General features: G+C 38.9%; 1 protein-coding gene across 2 annotated transcripts in view; it reads left to right on the top strand.

Moving 5' to 3' along the window:
• Positions 1-25876, top strand: part of MYH15 (myosin heavy chain 15) — a 170705-nt gene that overhangs the window by 47128 nt on the left and 97701 nt on the right. For both annotated transcript variants that reach the window (XM_011512559.3, NM_014981.3), the window contains 9 exons: positions 2090-2233; positions 3671-3827; positions 4463-4490; positions 5800-5893; positions 8073-8165; positions 10768-10831; positions 11350-11445; positions 17419-17522; positions 18716-18854. In XM_011512559.3, the coding sequence (XP_011510861.1) occupies positions 2090-2233; positions 3671-3827; positions 4463-4490; positions 5800-5893; positions 8073-8165; positions 10768-10831; positions 11350-11445; positions 17419-17522; positions 18716-18854 (919 nt within the window). The remainder of the gene's footprint in view (positions 1-2089; positions 2234-3670; positions 3828-4462; positions 4491-5799; positions 5894-8072; positions 8166-10767; positions 10832-11349; positions 11446-17418; positions 17523-18715; positions 18855-25876) is intronic.

The following is a 25876-nucleotide window of genomic DNA, read 5'->3' as shown; positions in this document are numbered from 1 at the left end:
TATGGATATACCATGTTGTTCATCCATTCATCAGTTGATTGTCACTGGGTTGTTTGTATGCTCTGTCTATTATGAATAATGTTTCTATGAACATGCATGTGCAAGTTTTTGTGGGGACACATGTTTTCATTTCTCTTGGGTGTATAGCTAGGAGTGTATTGCTGGATCATATAGTAACTCTATACTAAGCATTTTGAGAAATTTCCATACTGCTTTCCAAAGTGGCTACCATTTTACGTTTCCACCAGCAACATATAAGAATTAAACTCTCTCCACATCCTTACTAACACATTTTATTTTCTTTTTGATTACAGCCATTCTATTGGGCATGAAGTGGTATTTTAATGTGATTTTTATTTGCATTTCCCCAGTGACTAATGATGTTGAGCATCTTTTCATGTACATATTGGCCATTTGTTTATCTCCTTCAGAGAAATGTCTATTCAAGCTCTTTGCCCATTTTTTTAAATTGGGCTATTGCCTCTTCATTATTCAGTTGTAAGAGTTCTTTTTACTTTCTGGTTGCAAATCCCTTACCACATGTATTATTTGTACATATTTTCTCTCAGTCTATGTATTTTTTCATTTTCTTAATGATGACCAACTAAATTTTATTAGGCCTCCAGATGTGAGGCTTGCTCTTCTGAGCACATTCTCCAAAACAAACTACTGTCCCTTCAACAGCACTTAAGGTGATTTGTGACTATAATGTGGTTACAACCATAGGAAGAAAAGGCCATTAATGCAGGTAGAAAGAAGAGTCTGAAGGTGGTTTATTTTGTCCTGCTTGTCCTTCTTTGATGTAATGAAGGTCCCATTCCCCCAGCTTCACTATCTCCCTGGCTCCAGGATTCCTCTTCCTCATGTTAGAAGTGACTACACTTCCAATCACAATGTTACAATGGTCTTTGTAACATTAGCAAAGGCAATAAATCTAGTGGGTGTAAAGTACTACTTATTGATGAAAGTTGGAAATGAAAAAAATAGAAAAATAGAATTAGGGAAAAGGGGAGGTTTTTGAAGATGTATGAGATATGTTTACGTTCTGCATGGGTTTGAGGGGAGATGAGTCCTTGAAATACAGAAAGTGAAGGGACTCAAAAGAAGAGGGATTACTGTTAGAACAATGTCAAAGAAGACAGATGGATAGAAATTGAATCAAGAATGTAAAGAGTGTGAGAGCCTTGGAAAGAAGCCATCACCAACTGGGATTAAATGGGGCAATCAGTTGACACAAATATGTATTAATCATGGAAAAGGGCTATAGAAAGGGTGTTAGGAAACCTGTGAGAAGAATCCCAAGAAACTTTGATAGTAGAAATGCATCCATATTAATCAATATATTAATATTTATTGATTATTTATTATATCCCAAGCATTGTGATAGGTGCTTTAATAACTATATTTAATAACTATAGTTATTATGACAACAACATCAAAAATGAACATGCATTGCAAGTTTTTGAACTTCATTAAAGAAGACAACATCAAAAATCCTTCTTAAGGTATTTATAATCTAGCCAGAAAATAGTCTAACATAGTCAATTATTAAAATATACAAAAGAGTATTAATGTAAAGATAGTACAAATGGTAAGACTTAACAGAAGAGGACAAACTAATAAGCTGGAGTAGTTGGGAAGGTTTGAGGGAGGAGACAGGTTTTGAACTAGGTCTGGAAGGATAAGGTCTGCCTCCTTAATCCTCCACTCTAAGTTTCTTCTTTTAAATCTCCAAGGTGTGTTGGGACATCAAGGGCTGGGAGTTAGGGGTTAGATTGTACATAATATGATCCATGTACTCTTAGAGGGAATCAGGGCTAGCCAGAAGCCATAAGATTAGGGTACTGCATGATAGAAAATCTTGATATAACAAAAATACTATGTTTACTTCATCTTTAGGGAAGGAGAGGGCTTTTTCAGGGAGAACACCTGTTTTTTTCCATGAAGGCTGGCTTAATTTCTTCTGGCCCCATCCCCTAATGAGGCATCATTTTTTCTTTTTGAGTCTGAATATTCTTTCTAATTCATGGGAAAATGAATACGCATAGGAGACAGGGGAATATATCATATATTTTTCTTCTCTCTGCAGAGTCTGAGCATAAAGGAGGACAAAATCCAGCAGATGAATCCTCCAGAGTTTGAAATGATTGAAGACATGGCAATGCTGACTCACCTCAATGAGGCATCCGTGCTGCATACCCTGAAGCGGCGCTATGGCCAGTGGATGATCTATGTGTGTAATATGCTTTCCTGCTAAACTGTCATGTTGGCAGTCACATTGCATGTCCCAATCTCTCCTGGGTGATCTCTTACATTGAGTTTAAGCATGCTCGCACAGGGATAGTCCTTGAGCAATGTCTACTGGGAAGGGACCTTATCTTAGCATTTCCCCAATTTTATTTTGTCAACATTCATATGCCTTCCCACAGGTCATCCTTAGTTAAAAGCATGAGGCTTAGAGCCTGACAGAGTAGCCACCAGCCCTGTCACTTACTAGTTGTTAAGTTTCCTAACTTCTTGAAGTTGCCTTATCTATAAAGTGGGATAACAATGTCTGCCTTTCCATGGGAGCTTGGGGGATTAAATAAAAGAATGTAGGTAAAGCACGTAGTTCAATGCATGTCACCTAGTTAGTGATTAATGAGTGAGATGATTTCTTCATCATCTTTAAATTGATGATGGTTGGTTGCTCAAGTTCTTTGACTTACTCAAAACCTATGCAGCAGAAACAGTGCTGAGTAGATTAAGCTAAGATGTAGCATCTGGGACCCATGGCCATAGGAGCCATGGCATGCAACCAGCTTGCTCCTCAGCTTTCTGATTTACCATGTAACTGTATTAGTTTCCCTGGGATGCTGTAACAAAACTACCACAAGCTGGGTGGCTTAAAACAACAGAAATTATTCTCTTACAATGCTGGAGGCCAGAAGTCCAAAATCAAATCCAATCAGCAGGGCTGCACTCCCTCTGGAGGCTCTTGGGGAGAATCCTTCCTTGTCTCTTCCAGCTTCTAGCGGCTCTAGCATTCCTTTTGGTTGTATCACTCCAGTCTCTGCCTGCATTGTCACATCACCTTCTCCTCTGTGTGTCTCTTATAAGAACACAAGTTATTGGATTCAAGACCCACCTGGATGTCATCATCTTGAGACCCTTAACCTGTAATTACATTTGTAAAGACTATTTTTTCCAAATAAGATCACATTCACAGGCTCTGGAGAATAGGACATAAATATATCTATTTGGGGGCGACAATTCAACCCCTTCAGTGACTGAGTGACCCACATGAGCTAGTCCTTCTCAGTGCCCTAAAAATCAAACCCCTAATCTTGCTGAGGCAGAGTCCCCGCTGGCCTCAAATGCCTGATGGCTGGTTACTGAAATCTCTGCAGTCCTGCCATCAGGGTCCTCTCTGTCTTCAGAAGCTTCATGTGTCAGACTTGTTAGTAATTAGCAGGTCTCCCAGGAGAAAGGTAATCCCAGGTCCTGATGTTACTCTAACCTGGTTCTGTCTCTTCTTGTTAGAAGTCCCTTCTCTACATGATTCCAAAAGCTCCCCTCTGAGTTCCTTTATAAGTAATATTTGAGCAAATATTACTTGACACTGGAAGAGCTGACAAACCTGGAAGTATTTCTAATCTAGTTTCTGAAATCTTTTCTGATTTTCCCTCAGACATATTCAGGTCTCTTCTGTGTGACCATAAACCCTTACAAATGGCTTCCCGTGTATCAGAAAGAAGTCATGGCCGCCTACAAAGGGAAGAGGCGATCAGAGGCTCCCCCTCACATCTTTGCTGTTGCCAATAACGCCTTTCAGGACATGCTTCACAGTGAGTAGCTGCCCTACAAAATGAAAAGTAAAAATATCTGATCTACTTTTTCTCTATGTCCCTAAGAGGCACTTAGGCATTGTGAGCAGAGCATGGCCTTTACAGTTAGCTAATCACTTGAAGCCTCTGTTTCCTTCTGGATAAAATGTGGGTGAAATAGTACCTACCTCCTAGGGTTATTGGGCCGATTAGTTTGTACATCAAAGTGAGATAATGCATTTAAAGTGCTCGGCCCAGTGGCTGGCCCAGAGTAAGCCCCCTGCAGATGTTAGCCTTTATTATATACAGCATCTTCTATATTGTCTGGCACAAAGAAGTTATTCTATAGATATTATTACACAACGATTCTTAAAAGGCTTAAAATGGCAAGAATCTCAATCATTAGTTGGTTACCATTTATATGTAGCGCAAAGAAGTAGGCCTTTATATGTTCTTATGATTGGCATACATAGGGGCAAGAGAAAATCGATTTTACCCTGTACCATTTGAGGGGTATGTTTTTCTAACTATAAATGATGCTAATCCTTTCCCTTGTGTCTGATTTCAAATTGTAGCTAGGGAAATTTTGAGTAAGTTCATACTAATACATAAATATCGAATATAAGAATATTCTGGCATTTTTCTTTCTTTTGTAGATCGAGAAAATCAGTCTATACTCTTCACGTAAGTGTTTGCCTTGTTTTTCTTTTTTGGCCTGAAGTAAGTTTCAGTGAAATAGATACCTCCATTTCACTGGGAATAAAACTTTGATTCGCCATCTTTGAATTAATTGCCCTTTAGATGCAATACATTTGAGGTAAGAAAAAGATACTCAGGAAATTGTCATAGTGCTTTAGTCAGTGATGACTCCAAATATGGGGTCAGCTAGTCTGCCTCCCTCATTTTCAGAGATCCTTTAGAAATAGTGCACAAGCTGGTCTTAATTACCTTCTTGAGGATTAAGAGAGCTACACTGTTCCAAATGGTCATCTTCAAAGGCCTCTGGACTGGCTAAGCAGAGGGGCTGAACGTCCAATAGGTATGCCCATGGAACAGATAACAAGCAGTTGTGGGCAGCCAGATTGGGGCAGGTCAAAGTACATGAAGCAGTGGAAACTAAAAGATGGTGACATTTAGAGAAATAAGAAAGGGCGTAAAAAGGATAGACGGAAGTGTCACAGTGATATCTTATTGTATGTGAATTTTGATGAAAAGAGCCCTGGCTGGCCAGGTAAAGTGTCAGCATGGTGGCTGAGACTCAAGGGGCTGTGAAGTGCTAAAGTCCTTTACCTTCCCATGCAATGATGGTGTTACCACCTTGTACATTGGGCTCTCCATTGGCTTCAGTTATCCCAAGAGGGATCATGAGGTCTCAGAATTTTAGAGCTACATGAACAGTTGGGAGTTCAGCCTTTCACAGACAGGATAAACTATTTTCTGGAGTTTTGTATAGATAAAGGCAGGCAGGCCTTGATTCTATGATGCTTACATTGAGGAGGCTATAAATTTGCCACTGTGCTCTTCCCACATTGCAAAGTTAGCTGGTTGTCAAAGGTAAGGTAAAGCCTAAAGCCCAACTGCCTGGTGAAGTGATTGGTAGCCCTCTTCTGAGAAGAGGGTTGGACTTGGCTGTGTGGTAGCCTTCATACATGAAAATCTCTTGAACAGCTGGTAATGAGGAGACTTGTCTAGTTAGAAGAGGTGCTTTCCTGCTGCTTGTTATTAGGACCACAAGGAACAGGCTTCCTAATATTTACAAAAAGTTGTGATCTTTCTAACTCCAGATTTTTGCTCATGCTGTTTTTCCAGCCTGAAATGTCCTTGCCCTTCTCCCAACCAATTAAATGTCAATATATCCTCAAGTTCCATCTGAAGCTCTACTTTTATGTAAAAGCTTCCCTGCTTGCCATAGCCTATATAATCAAAATTACCTAACTTTCGTTGCATTGATAATCAGAACCAGTTAACTGTATCACTGAATTTCAAATCACAGAGGAGAATCTGGTGCTGGAAAGACTGTGAACAGCAAACATATTATCCAGTATTTTGCCACCATAGCAGCCATGATTGAATCCAGGAAAAAGCAGGTAAGTGTTTATATAGCTTGGTAGAAAAGATGAGGTGGCCCTATCCACTGGATCATGGAGGTTGTGTCCGGACCACTTTTGGGAAGTGAGGCCACAAGCACCACAGGACAATTTGCAAATTATAGAAAAGTATTTTTTTAAATATTTCCTTTGGTCCTTGAGAGGATCATCAAGTGCTCCAAACAATAACATGAAAACATGAATTATGTAATTAATTTCACATCTGCTTAAAGGGGCATTTTCTGGCCTGGTCTTTGTTTATTGGACCTGTAAGTTAAGTCCTCAAGATTCAAACCATCTTACCTAAAGGCTAGGGTCATCAGTGGCTTGGATATTTCTGAATCCCTTTAGCTACTGTGAGATATCAGATTCCCACAAATATGCACCAATAAAATTTTTCTTCATTCATACCTAACTCCTGGATCAAATTCTAAATGCCCAATGAATATACCCCTCAATGTTAATCACATACCACATTCAGAAAAACTTTGCCTTCCCTATTAAAAAAAAAATCCTTGTTCATTTTAGTTTAGCTTACTTTGTTTAGCTCCATTAACATGTTAATGGACATCATAATAACTTGAGGATAACTAAGACCATAAACATTGGTATGCAAAATAAAATCAGGTAATGCTGAATGGAACTCAAAATCAATGAGTTATTGAGCTGTTAGACCTCTCATTTTTCTATGTCTGGAATGATTATTTTGCTTTTTTCAATTCGATACTGGATGTTTGCTGTTTTTGCAAAGTAAGAAATATATTAAAATAGCCATCTGACCTAATTTTTAAACTATAGAAGTTTCTTTTTTTTACCACCACGTTCCTGAATTTGATTATTGATTTCTTTGGGTATCATTGAGCTCTTTTTTTTTTTTTTTTTTTTTTTTTTTTTACGGAGTCTCGCTCTTTCGCCCAGGCCGGACTGCAGTGGTGCTGTCTCGGCTCACTGCAACCTCCGCCTCCTGGGTTCACGCCATTCTCCTGCCTCAGCCTTCTGAGCAGCTGGGACTACAGGTGCCCGCCACCGTGCCCGGCTAATTTTTTGTATTTTTAGTAGAGACGGGGTTTCGCTGTGTTAGCCAGGATGGTCTCGATCTCCTGACCTCGTGATCCTCCCGCGTAGGCCTCCAAAGTGCTGGGATTACAGGCGTGAGCCACCGCCCCTGGCCATCACTGAACTCTTTTATTCACTAGATGTAACTTTGTTTTTACAAGCATTTTAGATGTTTGTGGTTTTTTTTTTTTTTTGGTGCGCATTAAATGGTTTGGTCTAGCCATTGAGTTTTATGATAATATATAATACAATACATAAATATAACACTCCTATGGAAATCCTTGCTCATATATATATAATGTTCTCTAACTTATTTGAAGGACAGTAAACCCATATTACTGAAAAGGGATATAATATTTATAAATCCATAAATTATTGAGTACAGTATACTATATAAGTCCCCCCATAAGATGGGGAATATTATATAGTAGTAGGGATATAAGAAGGGATATAATATTTATAAATCCACAAATTATTAAATACCATATACTACATAATTACCCCCATAAAATTGGTCTTTGAGGCTGACTGGAAAACAACAAAGCCATGTAGATATGGTAGATAGGTAGATGATCTGTTTTTGCCTATCAGCCTGAGCACACGTGATTCAAATTCAAGATCAATACTATTAAAAGTCACTACTCATGTGAACCTCTAGATTACTTAGGAAAAGAAGCAAGCAAAAGTATAGTTTAATAACACCAAGAGTCTGTTGTATTATCCTAGGATAAATTTCCAAGTGCAAAGATCGGATGGGAAGAGAGGAAGATTAATGATGGGGGAAATATATGATATGTTTGTCTGGAAATAAGCTTTGGTATGTTTTTCTTTTTTATTTGGTGACCATTTGCTTTTCCCCCTCAGGCCAATGCCAACCAAAAAAGAAGCATTGCAAATAAACGAGCTCCCACATATTCATAGGGGTATTGTATATTGTTAGCCTCTGTCATCCAACTGTTTTTCTGATTTCTCATTCGAAGATAATATAACCAAATTTGGAAGCAGCTTTTGGCCATTGGTTATCAAAGCAAGAATGGGGTTTGACCTGGAGATGGAGGGCTTGCCGCATTACAGAATTCTACTAATAGTTTCATCAGCTGTACTTCTCTTGCATGTGTCTCAGGGGGCGTTAGAAGATCAAATCATGCAAGCGAATACTATCTTGGAAGCATTTGGAAATGCTAAAACCCTGAGAAATGACAACTCCTCTCGTTTTGTAAGTAACATGATTTAGCATAATATCAAAGTATTTAATTTGTAAGCAATGGTAAAACTTATATGTAAGCACATAGGTATGAAAAAATTATAGAACACCAAAGAAGGTCTTTGATTAAAGTCTGTAATGTTAGATTTCTCAAAAAAAATTACTATCTATATCATTAAGACAATTAAATTTTTATAAATAAATATGCATTTTAGGAGTTTCTATTTGGTCAATTTCAAGAAAAAAGCATTTATCTTAATAGTTTCAAATTCCACTCCCAGTAGAGAAGCTCATCCAAAAAATTATAATAATGTTTTATATTTTATTATGTTTTACATATTTGAATTATTTTCTCATTCATGATTTCCTAAACCCCTTATAACAAGTCAGTTTAGTAGGCACTTCCTAATTCACTTACTACAATTACTGTTTGTACTGTTGCCTGTGGCCTCCTTAACCCCTGCATATTTTTCACTGGAGACATTTTGGCGGGCTGGGGAGAAAGTATTTTTAAGTAGCTTTTGATAACTAGAACTCCCATAAAAGAGGAAGAATTTGGATTTCTAAACCTAGTTTAACAAATCCATATTATGCCAAGAATCAGTGGCAGGGAGCCACTGTATAATTTACAAGAAAATTTGCAGAAGGCTTCCTATTTGAGTCTCCGGGCATAATTAAATAATAACCTCATGCCGATTTGGCTAGTTTCCATCCAAAGCCTTAGAGCTTCTCTGTCCACATTTAGATGAGCTTACAGTGTCTGGCTGGTCATAGCAGGTGCTAATACTGGTTCATAAAACAACTGGTAGATTTGGGATGTTTTAGAATGCTAAAGGACTTTCTGCTGAAATATGAAAGATAGAAAGCTGGGGGAAAAGCAAGGGAGGCAAAGGGGAGCAATAAAGGGACAGAAAAAGAACATTTTAAAAAAGGAAAGAAGAAAGACAAGGAAAAAAATAAAAGGAAGAAAGCGAAGAACATCAGGTAAAAAGAAAGATAGCCAGGTGTGGTGGCTCATGCCTGTAACCCTAGCACTTTGGGAGGCTGAAGTGGGCGGATCACTTGAGCCCAGAAGTTCAAGATCAGCCTGGATAACACAGTGAGACTTTGTTTCTACTAAAAATAAAAATATTAGCCTGGAGTGGTGGTGCGCACCTGTAGTCTCAGTTACTCAAGTGGCTGAGGCTGAAGGATGGCCTGAACCCAGGTGTTTGAGGCTGCAATGAGCTATGATGATACCACTACACTCCTGCTGGGTAACAGAGTAGGAATTTGCCTTAAAGAAAAGAAAGCAATTGAAAGAGAACAGAAAGGAGAGAAAAGTTGGAAAGATAGAAGGAAAGAAGTAGAGGAGAAAAATAAACATGAAGATGGATAAATGGAAGGAAAGAAAGAAGAGAGAAAGAAAAAGGAGTTCAAAAAAATCAAGAAATCTGGGTTAAAATTTTCAATTAATACTAAATAGGTATGTATACATATACTTCTGTATATGTGTATGTGCACACATACATATTTACTTGCATGTTTGTGTGTATGGGTATATATACATGTATGTTTGTGTGTGTGACTCCCACTGTCCTACATATTTTAATGTACTAGTTTGATCCCCCTGTACAGAGCCACTCACGTCTTCTTGCCAGGCTGCTGTCCTGCCCTGATGCCTTCCTGGCATGGGCCAGCCTCCCCCAGGCTGTCTTCCTCCCTGTTCCAGCATCCTGATCCCACAGGCTCTAGCTGCCACCAGATGGTGCCACCTCCTCAGCTGCATCTGGCATTCTGACATGGGCACTGGCACCTCTGGACAGCATTTCTGCCCCTCTAGATCCTGCCTTATGACTTTTCACTGATAAGGAAGAAAGGGTGCCCGTCTATTATTTATGCCAAGGTGTGCTATGAAACATAAATTAGATCACATCACTCCTCTGCTTAAAACCTTACAATGTCTCCCAAGCACACATAAAATAAAACTCTACCCTTTCCCGTGTTCTACATGGCTTAGATGATATGGAGTTTGTCTACCTCTTCGACTCCATTTTATGCCCCCCCTTTCTCTGACTTTCTAAATTCTAAGATATTGGCTTTTCTTGTGATTTTATGTCAGAGCTGTTGCAGTAGCTGCTTATCCAGTAGACTATAAGATTCATGAGGGTAGGGGCCATGTCTATTTTTTTTGTGCGGTATCTCCAGTGCCTAGAAGGTTACCTGGATCTTAGTAGATGCTCAATGAATGTTTGTTGCATGAATAAACAAATATGCTGAGGAAATATTTTTCTCATCTTTAGATAAGAACAGTGAGGCCCAGAGAGATTTCACAATGCCCACAAGAATACACAGGTAGCAATCAGCAGATTTGGGGCTACAAGCCAGAACCACTGCTAGTCCTGACAATCATTCTGGCTTCCTCCAGATATTAGCTGGTGCTGTCTCATCTCAAACCCACATTGCATTTTTCTCTTCTTTTCTTTTCTTTCTTTCTTTTTTTTTTTTGTTTGTTTTTTACTTCTGGGGAAGTAGTCCTTTTGAGAGTTACATATAATGAAGCCATTGCAAGTGCTTGGAAAATGTGAATAGGAAACTGTGTTTTGTGTCTGACTGTGTTCTGTGTCCACACTAGGGCAAATTCATCAGGATGCACTTTGGTGCCAGAGGCATGCTGTCATCTGTGGACATTGATATCTGTAAGTAGTCATTGCACTGTCTGATTACTTTTTTCTTTTCTTCCCTTCCTTCCCTTCCCTTCTCTTTCCTTCCTTCCTTCCTTCCTTCCTTTTCTTCTTTCTTTCTTTCCTTTTCTCTCTCTCTCGTTCTTTTTCTCCCTTCCTTCCTTCTTTTCTTTTCTTTCTTGACAGGGTCTTACTCTGTTGTTCAGGCTGGAGTGCCGTGGCATGATCATGGCTCACTGCAGCCTCGAATTCCTGGGATCAAGCAATCCTCTACCTCAGCCTCTCAAGTAGCTGCAGCTACAGGCATGTGCCACCATGCCCAGCTAATTTTAAAAATTTTTCTTTGTGGAAATGGGGTCTCACTATGTTGCACAGGCTGTTTTCAAACTCCTGGCCTCAAGTGATTCTCCTGCCTTGGCCTCCCAAAATGCTGGGATTACAGTTGTGAGCCACTGCGCTCAGCCTGATTACTTTTCTTCTACATTTTGCAAGAATGCCTAAGTATGAATTTTTATTCATTTCTCATCATCCAGATTTGCTTGAAAAGTCCAGGGTGATTTTCCAGCAGGCTGGAGAGAGGAACTACCACATATTCTATCAAATTCTATCTGGACAAAAAGAGCTTCATGGTAAGTGTAGGATTCTGGAGCTTAGGGTTATTCCAAAACAAGAAAAATAAGTCATATTTGGGGGATGAAAAAGTGTTATTCGGTAAGTTTCTTAGCCTATTTAGACCTCAGTATATTCATCCTTAAAACTTAGGGAATTGAATCAATTATAGAACTAGTGTTGTATAATTTTATATGGACAGACAGTAAATAGCAACACTTCTTTTTCAATTTGGTAGCAAAAAGAAGCAGAGTATTTGGAAATGGGTAGGATGCCCAGCAGAGGTGAGTGAGTGTGTGTGTGTGTGTGTGTGTGTGTATAAAAGCATTAATTTAAGGCCTTAATTAGAGCTACATGGGTGGTATAGATAAGGACCAGGGGAGGGAAATAGCATCATAGTGTGTGGTGGTCAATGGGAGTTTTCTCTCTTTTTTCTTTTTTAATAGAGATGGGGTTTCACCATGTTGGCCAGGCTGGTCTCAAGCTCCTGGCCTCAAGAAATCCTCCCACCTTGGCCTCCCAAAGTGCTGGGATTACAAGTGTGAACCACCGTGTCTGGCTCAGGGAGTTTTATAAAGAAGGGGAATTTAGGTTGGGATATGAAGAATGGGAAGGGGATTCAGTCAGACAAAGTGAAGAGTGGAGGCTACTTCTGGTAGGAGGAAGAGTGTACACAATGTTGGGAAAGGGCAAAGCAGGAGCAGGGAACAGAGAGACCAGGTTGATTAAAGGAAAAGGTTTGCACAGAGGAATAGTGGAGATTTTATTCCGATGGTTTCTGAACTCAGGGAGTTGGCAGAGCAAGTGTGTTGTGGGGGGTGCGGCAATAGGAGGTCATGATTTATTGAAGGCAGTGTTTGGGACGATTAAGCTGGTAATGGGCAGGATGGTGTGGAGGCAGAGACTTGGATGGAAGGGATTGCAAATGTCCCAGTATGAGATGACAAGACAGTGATCTAAGAGAGTGTCTGAGAATGGAAGGGTGGGGGAAAAGGGATAGATGCATGGAAGAATAGACAGGTCTTGGTAGAGACTGAATGTAAGAATGAGGAAGAGTGATGAGTCAGTCAAAAATATCCCCAAGTTTTGTGATTTGATTAGGAGAATGATAGTGCCATAAACATAAAATAAGAAAAAAAATGTGGAATAAGGGAATGAATTTCATGTATTTATTCAACAAATATTTATTATGGAGCTGCTATGTGTACACCAGGCACTGCTTTTTAATCATAGGGGGTACAGTGGTGAACGAGGTAGACAGGCCTCTGCCCATATGAGCTTATAGTCTAGTATGGAAGACAGGCAACAAATGAGTAAAGAATACATGATCTAGGCTGGGCGTGGTGACTCCTACCTGTAATCCCAGCACTTTGGGAGACTGAGGCAGATGGATTGCTTGAGGTCAGGGGTTTGAGACCAGCCTGGCTAACATGGTAAAAACCAGTCTCTACGAAAAATACAAAACTTAGCCAGGCATGGTGGCAGGTGCTCGTAATTCTGGCTACTCAGGAGACTGAGGCAGGAGAATCACTTGAACCCAGGAGGCGGAGGTTGCAGTGAGCTGAGAATGTGCCAGTGCACTTTAGCCTGGGCAACAGAGTGAGACTCTGTCTCAAAAAAGAAAAAAAAAAAACCATGATCTAATTTCTTTGTAGGTTATATGGCAGGTCTATAAAGAACAATAAAGTACAGTGAGGGGACAGAAAGAAATGGGGTTTGGTAGGGTTGTGGATAGTTCTATTTTAGATGAAATTGTCAGGGAATTTCTCTGAAAAGACAACATTCTTTGCAGACACCTCAATGAGTAAGGGAGCAAGTAGGCAAAGATTTCCAGGAATAAAATCCCAGGAGGAGGGAACAGTGAGTACAAAGGTCCTGAGGCAATAATGCATTTGATTTATTCTTGGAATAGCAAAATGGCCACTGTGGGTGGTAGAGTAGAGAGGGTAACGTAGGGTAAAATAGGCAGGGGCCAGACCATGCAGTGCATTGCAGGCCATGGCAGACCATTTAAAGTGGCATAGGAAGTCATTGGAAGGGGAGAACTACACGCTGATTTGATTTCCGAGGTATTGCATTTGAGGTAAGCCTTTGAGGACAACAATGCTCCCACAGAAGTGGACATAGGGTAAGATTACAGATCCAGGCTAGTAAACTGATGGGAACAATTCTCCCAGTCCATTATGCTTAGACTAAGTATGGTATAAATCTAGCAGTGTTTTGACTACTTGGTTTTTAAAGTACCCTTACCAAATGGGGAAAGCTCTGCAAACGAGACAATTATTTTTGCCATAGATGTAATTGGTGTCATGTAAGCAGCACGTATTCTCCTCCCCACCTTCTCTCCACCTCAACCTGGAACAGGATTTTTTTTGATCTTCCATTGATTAGTCCTATCAAATCTAACACTCTTGACATGTGTTTCTGGATGGTATAGAGCAACTGACACGTAAGATCTAATGTGGGTACCAGCAGAGACTGCAAGATTATTTTCAGAGCAACTCTGTTTACTAATAGAAGCATCTGATGCCTTTGGGCTGCTATGGAAAATGCATGCTTATCCTGAGTTCATTTATCTTCTTCGGTCTTTGGGGGTTGCTGAGATTGATTACTGTGCAAAGTCTGACATCTGGTGGTCCAAATTGGGTATTGTCAGTCTACCTGTTTTAGCACCCATTGTCCTTTTGGGGGACATTTTAAAAGATGATCTGGAACTCTTACCATCCATGTTTGCTAAAGAAGAGCTTCAGAGTATCCTGAGGCTTAATACAAGAGGGCATATCTTAACGATATGAGGATGATGTCCACATATCCTGAAATATGAGGATTTGTCCATACTACAAAAGAATTGGGTATGGAAATCACAGCAGAGAGGCTGGTCACCCACTGAAGGAGCGAAGGAAATGAGGTGACATGTTACCTCAGAGCCAGCCCCTATTTGACCTCTACATGGCCATGAGCACCCCTTCACTCCTTTGCTCTCAATTATATCTGACCCTTGTTCCAGGCATAGCTAAGGCTCATTTCTTCAGTTCTTTTGGACAGGGCTCATTCAAAATCCTTAGTTCTTACTGCCGTCTGTATAGCTTGGTCCTACATATATTTTCCCTTTTCTCCTCTTTTTCTTTTGACTTTTTTTCTTTCTATTTATTTATTGTGTCTATTCTTGCTATTCAACTAGTGTATAAATTCCAGGAGTGATGGTAAGTGACCAAGAGGTCCTTCCGTCCTGGAATCCTTGACATTTGGCCTCAACCCTGTGTATTCACTTCATAAAGTATACAACAATTGTGCATCATCAAGAGAGAATCTACTGAATGAACAGGAAAAAATATTTGCAAACTGTACATCTTATAAGGGCTGAATATCTAAAATATATAAAGAACTCAACTCAATAGCAAGAAAACAACTGGATTAAAAAATGGATAAAGGACCTGACAGACATCTCTCCAAAGAAGACATGCAAATGGCCAACAGGTCTATGAGAAAAGCCTCAACATCAATAATCATCAGGGAAATGCAAAGCAAAAACCATAATGAGATATTGTCTTACTATCAGAAGGCAAGAGATAACAAATGTTGGCAAAGATGTGAAGAAAAGGCAACCCTTTTTCACTGTTGAGTCAACTGTAAATTACTACAGTCATTATGAAAAATGGTATGAAAGTCACTCAAAAGATTACAAACAGAACTACCATATGATCCAGTCATCTACTACTGGGAATACATCCAAGGGAAATGAACTCAGTATCCTGAAGAGGTATCTGTACTTCCATGTTCAATGCAGCATTGTTCACAATTGCCGAGATAGAGAAAAAACCTAAGTGTCCATGAAGGATGACTGGATAAAGAAAATGTGGTATATATACACAATAGGATACTATTATGCCTTTAAAAAAAGAAGGAAATCTTGGCTGGGTATGGTAGCTCATGACTGTAATCCCAGCACTTTGGGAGGCCCAGGAGGGAGGATTGCTTGAGCCCAGGAGTTCAAGGTCAGCCTGGGCAACATAGCAAGACCCCGTTTCTACAAAAAATTTAAAAATTAGTTGAGCATGGTGGCATACACCTGTGGTCTCAGCTACTAGGGAGGCTGAGGTGGGAGGATCACTTGAGCCTGGGAGATTGAGGCTTCAGTGAGCTGTGATCATGCCACTGCACCTTAGCTTGGGTGACAGAATGAGACCCTGCCTCAAAAGAAAAGGAAAGAAAATCTTGTTATTTTTGTCAAGTATGGCAACATGAATGAACCTGAAGGACATTATGCTAAATGAAATAAGGCAGGGACAGAAAGACAAATACCACATGATCTCACCCATGTAGAATCTAAAAAAGTTGAATAAGTTCAGAAGATCTATTGTACAACATAGTGATTATAGTTAATAACAATGTATTATATACTTGAAATGGCTAACAGAGTAGATTTTAAATATTCTCACCACAAAAAAAAAAGTATGTGAAATGACAGATACATTACTTAGCTGGAATAAGCCATTCCACAATGTATACATGTATCAAAACATCATGTTGTACACCATAAATATATACAATTTTAAATTGTCAATTTAAAAAATAAAAATCATTTCAAAAACAAGTACTGTAAAAATTTTTACAGGATATTTTTATTAAAATACACATATTCACCTTCTGCTGGATTTAAGCTAGGCCAATTTTATTTTTAAAGTTTTATAAAACAAATTTATTGATGTTCTTTTCACCTAAAGTACACTGCACGTGTTTTAAGTATATAACAGGTAAGTGTTAACATATATATGAGTGTGTATGAAACTGTCACCACAATCAACATAATGCATGTATACTTTCAAAAGTGTCCTTGGATCTTTTATAATACCTCCCTCCTGTCCCTTTTCACTCATTGGAGCCCTCCTTTCCCAGCCCCAGTCCCTAAGTAACCACTAATATGCTTTCTGTCACCACAGATTAGTTTGCATTTTCTAGAATGTTTAAAGACAAAATCATAGAGTGTATATTCTTCTTGTCAGGCTTATTTTACCCAGCATAATTATTTTGAAATTCTTCCATGTTCTAGCACGTATTTATAGCTTATTCCTTTGTTTGCTGAATAATAATCCACTGTATGAATATACAACAGTTTGTTAACCCATTCAACTGCAGATGGTTATTTGACTTGTTTTCTAACAAAACTGCTATGAACATTTATGTAGCCCAATTTCTTTGTTTCTGAGATTTGGAGTTCAAGATAACCGATTTTCACTTTATTGAGCAATAAATAGAAAAATAAGATCAGCTCAAAAAAACTTCACTGGGAGCAAGTGTTGGACAGTGAAAGGTTAATGTGATTCTGCCAAGTCAGCTGATGATGCGCGGCTGACAGCCTGCCTCTGCTTCAGCCTGGATTATGTTTCCTGACTAAGTGAATCATGTCAGGACTCTTAGACATATCAGGGTGCAGCACTGAACACAGCAGCTGATTTATGGATCCCTTGAAAGACAGACTCAGTTCTCTAATAGCGAGGATGTGATGTGACAGGGTTGCCCTGCTAATGTTCCCTGGGCGCTGACCCCAGCTTCTGGCTGCTTCGTAGCTTTTGAAGCTCAGGTCTGTTCTACTTATAATTTTACAAAATACTTTTATCCTCCAGCCCTCAGTCATAAATCTAGGCCAAATTCCTGTTTTCAGAGTTTTGCCAACACACATTACGTGTCTTTTTGTTGTTGTTGTTGTTGTTTGTTTGTTTTTGTTTTTTTTTACACCAATTGAAACTGCTGCAATTGAATCCGCTTTTTGAATTTGCCAGCCTGTCTTCTCTTGGGAGGCATTAACACATGACTGACAAGTTAATAGAGGGCAAACATTGATTGTAGAAGTTTGGGTCTAAAATATGGATTTTATTTTGGCTTGTTTACAAGTATGATATAAACTGTAGACTAAACTGCGAATATTGACCAATTATTTTCTAAGGCCTTGCAGATTTCTTTAAGCTGTTTAACGAATCGTTTTCCCACTCTAGACCTGCTCCTGGTATCTGCAAATCCCTCAGACTTCCACTTTTGCTCCTGTGGAGCAGTTACTGTGGAGAGCTTGGATGATGCTGAAGAATTGCTGGCCACAGAAGTAAGGCTTGTTAGTTGTCAAAGCAAAATCTGGTAATGGCAATGAGAAATGAAAGACAGAATCTTAGAGTTCTGTTCTTAGGGACCCAGAGAAGTGGTCTTGCTTCCGTAGGGGTGTAGGGCTGCTTCTGTCCAAAGTTTACTTATTTATGAGAAAACTGCACATTGTCAATATAGTAACTTTGGAAGCTATGAAAAAGTAGAAAGATATTTCAACTCAATGGCAAACATCTCTTTTATTTGGTGTATATCTTTACAGTTTTTATTCTGTTTTTATCTATTTGCAGCTGCTTTTGTATGGTCATGTTAGTGTTTTTTGTTTTTTACCAAAAGACTGTAATTATGCTGCATAGACATTTGGCATATAGAATTTGCTTTCTCAGTTTAATCGTTTAAGCATTTCAAATATCGTTAGGAACTCTTCATAAACATTTAAGTGGATACTTAAGATTTTATCAGGCATTTGTCCTGTTGTTTATTGAGCTATTCTCTTAGTGTTAGACTCAAGTTTTTTTTCACTCCCACTGAGGTGAATATCTCTGTAGCTAAACACTTTTTCTGTATATCAGATTCACCTTATGCTAGATTCCTAGAAGTGAAAATACTAAGGATTATGAATTTTTTATAGTCTCTTGGTACATATTCTAAATTAACCACTAGAAAGATTGTACCAATTTTTTCCCTCCTGGGGTGTATGAGAATGCACACCTTGTGCAGTGGATTCTTAGGATGCAATTTTATGGTGAGGTGGCTTTTCTTAAACCTTTCTTTTCACCAGTCTTTGAAATGTGTCTCCTCTGGAATAAAGTCAGAACCTGTGGGATCACAGAAACAAGCAACTCAGCAGATATGGTGCTTTCTGCCATAACCACGAAAGGCAAAATAATTGACCTCATATAGCCAGTTAGTGATCTGTTGCTGGAAGGAACAAGAGAGAGGCAGGGCATTGAAGGAAAGTTCTAAAACTATTGGGAACTAAACAAGCCTAGTCTTGTGCCTTCCTAATTCTCTTTTAAAGGGATGAGCAGACTGCGGGTGACCAAGTGCCAACAGGGCTGATTTGCATTGCTTTGAACAGAGCTGTCTGTCTCATTCCCCTCAGCCCACAGCCCGAGGTGTAACACAGCGGGGGTGAGGTGCTCACTGCAGCCATTAAGCAAATGAAGACAGGGCCATCTGTTTCTCTTTTTACAGCAAGCCATGGACATCTTGGGCTTTCTTCCTGATGAGAAGTATGGATGCTATAAACTCACTGGAGCCATCATGCACTTTGGAAATATGAAATTTAAACAGAAACCTAGAGAAGAGCAACTGGAAGCAGATGGCACAGAAAGTAAGAATTACTTTGAAGATATGGTATATACTTCAAATCTCTGGGCCCAAGCCTGCTCCCCTTTACCTTGCAGTTAACTTCATCTCTTACTTAAAATTAATCAATAGTGTCTCCCTTGATTGCTGTTCTTCAAAAACGGTTCTGTCAACTACCATTCTAATGTAGAATCCTCCTATCACAGAATAAGAAGCACTCCTCAATAATTATTGATGATCCAGTCAATTTGCTAAACTTGGGTGAAGGAGAATTAAGACACAGTATGCCTTTAGCACATAGATTATTGAGAACAATGAGAGAAAGGAACAAATTATGGCCGGACACCGTGACTCACGCTTGTAATCCCAGCACTTGGGGAGGCCGAGGTGGGTGGATCACTTGAGGCCAGGAGTTCAAGACCAGCCTGGCCAATATAGCGAAACCCTGTCTCTACTAAAAATACAAAAAATTGGCCAGGCGTGGTTGCGCACGCCTATAATCCCAGCTACTTGGGAGGCTGAGGCATGAGAATCGCTGGAACCTGGGAGGTAGAGGTTGTAGTGAGCCGAGATCGCTCCACTGCACTTCAGCCTGGGTGACAGAGCGAGACTCAGTCTCAAAAAAATAAAATAAAATAAAAATACAAAAATAAGGAGCAAATTATGATAAAATGTATTAAGTGACATAATGGAGATGTGAACTAAGGCCCTTGGAATTCCAGTGGGAAGTAACTAACTCACAGGGGTGAGACCAGGAGGCTTTATTTCTCCTTGTTTTTTCTTCACATTTAAAAAAATCTATACTCTTATCTGCTTACCAGAAATATTTGAGGCATCTTACAATGAATGATCTGTCTAGAATGATCATTAAAATAAATCCCCACAATTATGAAAAGAAGAAAGCATAGTTGTTATTACCTTTAATATTAAAATTCCTTACAACCGAAACAAAAAGAGAAAACCCATTCATTCAACTCTTTCAACAACTACTTTTTTAAATTTTATATTTTTAATGAATAAAATATATATAACATACAATTTACAATTTTAGCCATGTTTCAGTGTACAGTTCAGTGGCATGAAGAACATTCACATTGTTGTGTAATTAGCAATGTAATCCACTGCCAGAACTTTTTCATCATGTCAGCCTGAATAAACTATGTACTTATTAAACCAAAACTCCCCATTATCCCCTTCCTGTACTCCTGGTAACCACTGTTTTACCTTCTGACTCTAGACACCTTATGTAAGTGTAATCATACAATATTTGACCTTTTGTAACTGGCTTATTTCACTTAGCATAATGTCTTCAAGGTTCATCCATGTTGTAGCATGTATCAAAATTTCATTCCTTTTTAAGGCTAAATAATATTCCAGTGTATGCATATAACACACTTATCTTTTCATCAGTCTATGGACACTTGGTTGCTTCCACTTTTTGGCTATTGTGAGTAATGCTGCTATGAATGTTAGTATATAAATATCTGTTTGAGTCTCTGCTTTCAATTCATTTGTGTATATACCTAGAAGTGGAATTGTTAGAATAAATGGTAAATCTGTTATATTTTCTAGGAGCCATCATATTGTTTTCCACAGTGGCCATACCTCTTTTCATTTTCACCAGCAATGCACAAAGTTTCCAATTTCTTCACACCCATGCCAACATTTGTTGTTTTCTGTTTTTTGGTTTTTTTTTTTTATAGTAGCCATCTTCATGGGTATAAAGTGGTATCTTATTGTGGTTTTGATTTGCATTTCCCTACTGATTGGTGATGTTGAACATCTTTTTATGTGCTTATCGGCCATTTGTATATCTTTTGAGAAATGTCTATTTAAGTCCTTTGCCTATTTTTAAAATTAGGATTTTTTTGTTGTTGTTTGACAAGTTTGTGATTTTTTTTTTTTTTTTTTTTATGGAGACAGAGTCTTGCTCTGTGGCTTAGGCTGGAGTACAGGGGGGCAATATCAGCTCACTGCAACTTCTGCTTCCCAGGTTCAAGCGATTCTTGTGCCTCAGCCTCCCGAGTAGCTGGGAAGCTGGGATTACAGGTGCACCACTACACTGGGCTAATTTTTATATTTTTAGTAGAGATGGGGTTTTGCCGTGTTGGCCAGGCTGGTCTCAACTCCTGACCTTAAGTGATCTACCCACCTCGGCCTCCCAAAGTGCTGGGATTACAGGCCTGAAACACCATGCCTGGCCTGTTGTGCAACAAATAATTTTGGAGGCCAGTCTGTGCTAGGGACTATTCTTGATGCTAGGGATACATCCGTGAACAAGATATTGTCCCTGTCTTGTCTAGTGTGGGAGTTAGACAATAAATACATAAATACGTAACAAGTTCCATACAAAAAGGAAGTAAAGCAGAGTTAAAAAAATAAGGAATAATAGGATACAGAGGTTGTTGTAGATAGGGTGGTCAGGAAGTCAGTCCCTCAGAGAAGAGGACACAGCACAGATGTGAATGAAGTGAGACAATGTGTTATGAAGATCTTGTAAACATCTTATATATTAACATATTCACATATGCTTTTATGGCATCTTATTTTATTTTTGCCATCCTGTTTGCTTTTTCCATGCTTTAAAACAAAGGCTTTTCTTAAAGAATGGTTTTTATTACAAAAACAAGGCATACTTACTGATAAATCAAAAAACACAGATGAGCAAATGAAATGTGTAATCTCCTCCACTCTCCCTTTTGGCTTCTTCTCAGGTTCTTTGCTGGAGCTTCCTTATCTTCCCTACTGCTAATTGCTCTAGGGCTGCTCAGGGCTCCAGCCTTGAATCTTTCCTCTTCCCTTTCTATGCTCATTTCTTTGGTGCCCATCTCAAACTCAACATGAATAGAACTGAACTCTTCATCCCACCCTGCCTTTACTACCAACTCTTCATTTCTCGGTCTTCTTCAAAAATGCCACCTAGGTTCTCCCAATTGCCCTGACTCAAATCTCAGAATCATCCTGGACTCCTCTCTTTTTCATTGTCTCTACCTTTGAAATACATCCAAAAGCTCACAACTTATCACCATGGCCATGCCCACTGCCACCACCTAGCCCGAGCCACCGTTTCTTACTACAGCCTCCTTCCTGGTCTCCCTGCTTGCATCCTTGCCTACGATGGATAGGTGGATAGCTCTGCACCCAGAAGCTACTGTCAGTCCTTTCACAGTGTCAGTCAGCCCTTGTTCCACCATGTCCTGCTTCTGCTCTAAACTCAACAATGGCTCCAAATAAAACCCCACGTTCCTGTCACAGCTTCCTTAACCTCTATGATATTAGGTTGGTGCAAATGTAATTTTGGTTTTTGTCATTACTTTTAACAGCAAAAACCGCAATTATGTTTGCACCAACCAATACTTCTCTGTCTCTCTCTAATCCCTACCGTTAGTAGCGAAATCTATCATTTTCTCGTCTCTCATTTCCCTCCACTCACATGTCCTGGCCTCTTGGATGTTTTTGGAGCATGTAAGCACTCCTATTGCAGGACTATTTTCACTAACTCTTCTTTCTGCCTGGAACTTTTCTCCTGTCCTCATGTCTTACTCCCTCACTTATTAAAGTAACTTCTTGGATGTTACCTTATTAGAAAAGCCTTCTCTAGCTACCTCCACCACTATCCCCCTAATCTAAATATTTTTCTTCATGTCATTCATACAGCTAGTTTTTATTGAATGTCCTAGCCTCCACCCCTCAATCTCCACCAGATGTAAGCTTTGTAAGAGCAGGGACCTCATTTGGTGTGTTCACTGCTATATTTCCAGGTTTTAAAATGTGCCTGGCACATAGTAATGGCTAATTATTCATTAAGTGAACCCTACCTACTCAGAGACAATCACTGTGAATGCCAAAGGACATATTTTTTACGCATTTTCTAGTTGAATATGCACATATAACTTTTTAAAATAAAAATGTGATCATATTCATGTTGTTTCAGCCTAGTATTTTTTTACCAAATTATATGTGAACATCTTTTTGTCTTTTCTGCAATATCTTTTTAGATGGCTACAAAATATTCCATTGTATGAATGTACCATAATTAACTTAAGCATCTTACTGGATACTGAGTTTTTTTCAGTATGCTTCTACCTTTAGCTCATTTTAAAAATGGAGGTGTTGAATTTTTCTTTAATTCTAAGGGTTCTTAATATATTAAGCTTTGGTAAATTTTTCCCAGTTAATTATTTAGGAAGGTTTTGAAGGAGCTGGACAGATGGAGAAGAAGGAACGGGGAAGGGCACCCAAACCCAAAGGGGCATCTTAGCCTTTGCCTCTTTCTTGAGTTCCAACTCCATATTTCCAACTCTCAGCTGCATATTTTCTAGTATCCTAAACTCTGCATGGCTAAAAGTCCATCATCTTCTCCCCTAAGTGATGTCTTCCTATTGGCATTTCTATTCATATTTATGGTATTGTTCTTCTTTCTACTTCTCAGACTGGAAACCTCCTAGTCATATTTCTCAGTCTCTCTTTCTCCCTTTCTCATTACAAATTTGGAGCTTCAGCATCTCACACTTCAGCATTCTGCAATGGGTTCACTCTGTACTTTAAAACTTCCTACTCTGGTCTGTCTTGCACATTTCCAAAATTAAGCATCCTAAAGCATGACTCTAATTATGTCATTTCTCTGCTTACAGCTCCTTTAACATTTCCCCATTCTTTAATTAATATGTTATAGCGGCATTAGATGTCTTCTGCGACCAGAAGTCACCCGCTTTTCTCAGTTTCTCACTCACTCCCTGGTATCGTAGTCCAGTCCCTCTGGGTTACAACCTCTTCTTTGACCATACCTTGTACTCTTCAACGCCTGTGGCTTCAAGTCGTGCTGTTCATTGTTAAGGAAACTCTTCTTCTCCCATATTTGCCTACAAAAACTCTTGTCATCCTTCAAGGCTCAGATTGAATGTTGTTTCTTTTTTAATCCTTCCCCAGTCATGCAGTCCAGAAGGGCTCTTTCCCTACTTCACAGTTTTGTGATACTCGATTTGTGTGTCTCTTATGCAGTTGTTTTACTGACATACTATTTTTTCCCATGTCTTATTTACTCTCATAGATTATAATTTCTTGATGCCAGGGATTTTTGCCTTGTTTATTTATCTTCTTATTACATTATCTAGCATCAGGGCTTACACATAGCAAATGCTCAGTTAACTTTGTTTAATAAATTAATGAAATATGAACAGCTCAAAAATTGTATTATAACCTTCCATAAAAGAGATTAATATCTTTATCATAACCCCTGTAGACTGACAAAACTGGATTTTGCTTCATTCTTTCATATCTGGTTATTTGCAGATGGGACTGAACTGGGACAGAATTGGAAATTTGGAAAAGATTCCTTTTTGAGTTTCTCTACCTTTTTACCTGTTTTCAGGTGAAGTCATACTTTGTTCTTTCCATCTTCCTGATTTCAAAATAAACTTACGAAACCTGGTTATTATTCTCTAGACAGTAGTTTGCAAACTTGGCTGCTCAACAGAATCGCTGGGGAACTTTTAAAATCCTGAAGCTCAGGCCTTACCCAAGCCAGACAAGCCAGATTTCTGTGGGTGAATTTCAGGCATCAGTATTTGTTTTTACAACTTGCCAGGGACCCCAGTGTGCAGTCAAAGTTGAGGACTACCACAATAACAACTTTGTTCTCAAACTTGTATGTGTATCAGAATCACCTGGGTAACACGATAAAACTAGAGCGGCCCAGCCCCTAACCTGCTTCAGGGAGCCTGTTGTTTAATCTTTGATTAGCTCTCCAGGCTATTCCAATACACACTGATGCTTGAGAACCACCTCTCTAGCTAAATGTTACCTCTCCCAGGTAAGATCATGCAGCCTAATTGAAGTCCATGGGTTCATTCACAAGGTCCTGAAGGAACTGATGCTTATGGGTGGGAATTTCATAAAGCCTATTTGGGAATATGATTAAAATATGTTTACACATATTGCTATCTTTACAACAGTAGTTCCTGAATGTCAGATGGGCATTTAGTCATAGATTTACGCCATTTTCATCTTGGTTGCAAACTGTAAACATTTAGTGCAAATGAAGTAATTTACTTTTTGGAACATGATGACCTCTATTGTTTCCTCTTTCCCCCCAAAACAGAGAACATATGTGATGTATAATGTAAATCTCTGGAGTAAATCCAGGGTACACTAGTCCTGTCTGTAGATACTCAACTATCTCTGGAGTAAGTGACAAATAATCCTGTAATGTTAGATGCTATTTCTGTTAAGCTTAAGGTGGGATACTCCTCAGAGAATCTGAATTTCTTTTGTTCATGGATAAAAATAGACTCAAAGGACTGTGCTTAACACTGGAAAAAGGATATATGAAGACTCGGCATGGGGAACTATTCTTTGAGACTATTATTACCTGTATTATCTCTCTTCATGCTTCCAAAGCTTAGAAAAAACAAATGTTTCTCTTTTTTTTTTTTTAAACCTGGACAGATACTGGAAAATTGTTTTTCACATTGTTGGTTACTGTTCATCTCCACTCAGGTTGCCAGGCACATTGTATTTCTTCCCGTCTTTTAAATATTTTCACATTGGATTAGATACTCTATAAAGTCTCTTTCAGTTCAAAAAGTCTATGATTTGACATACTGGATTCTCAATTTGAAATTATCAAGCTTTTGCCGCCAAACCTGGCACTGTTAGCAGGCACATCTCAGTATAGGATGGGCATGTCTGCTCTACCTTTGATTTTCATTTATTTTTCCAAATAGGCTTTGTGTTTTGAAAGGTTTCATAGCAACCAAGTACCCAGGCTATTATCACTGCAAATAAACTAACATAAAGTAGGTATGTAACTTGTAGCAATGTATGTATTATATATATTGATTTTAGTTTATAAGAAAATCAAACATTTCAAACATTTTAAGCCTTGTAAACATTTTAAAGGCTGTGAAAAGGAAATTGATATTGCTAATACAGACGAGATAGAGCTCTCTAATTGTGTTTTGTTTTTACTTTATTTTCTGTTCGTGATTATTGCTCTGGAAAATTTGCAGCTTTTTTTTTCTTTAGTGAATTAAAGAAAGGCTGCAT

The sequence above is a fragment of the Homo sapiens genome, chromosome 3 (assembly GCF_000001405.40).
Source record: "Homo sapiens chromosome 3, GRCh38.p14 Primary Assembly".
Lineage (NCBI taxonomy): Eukaryota > Metazoa > Chordata > Mammalia > Primates > Hominidae > Homo > Homo sapiens.
Note: the sequence above shows the minus strand (reverse complement) of the source record. Positions and strands in the feature narration are given on the sequence as shown.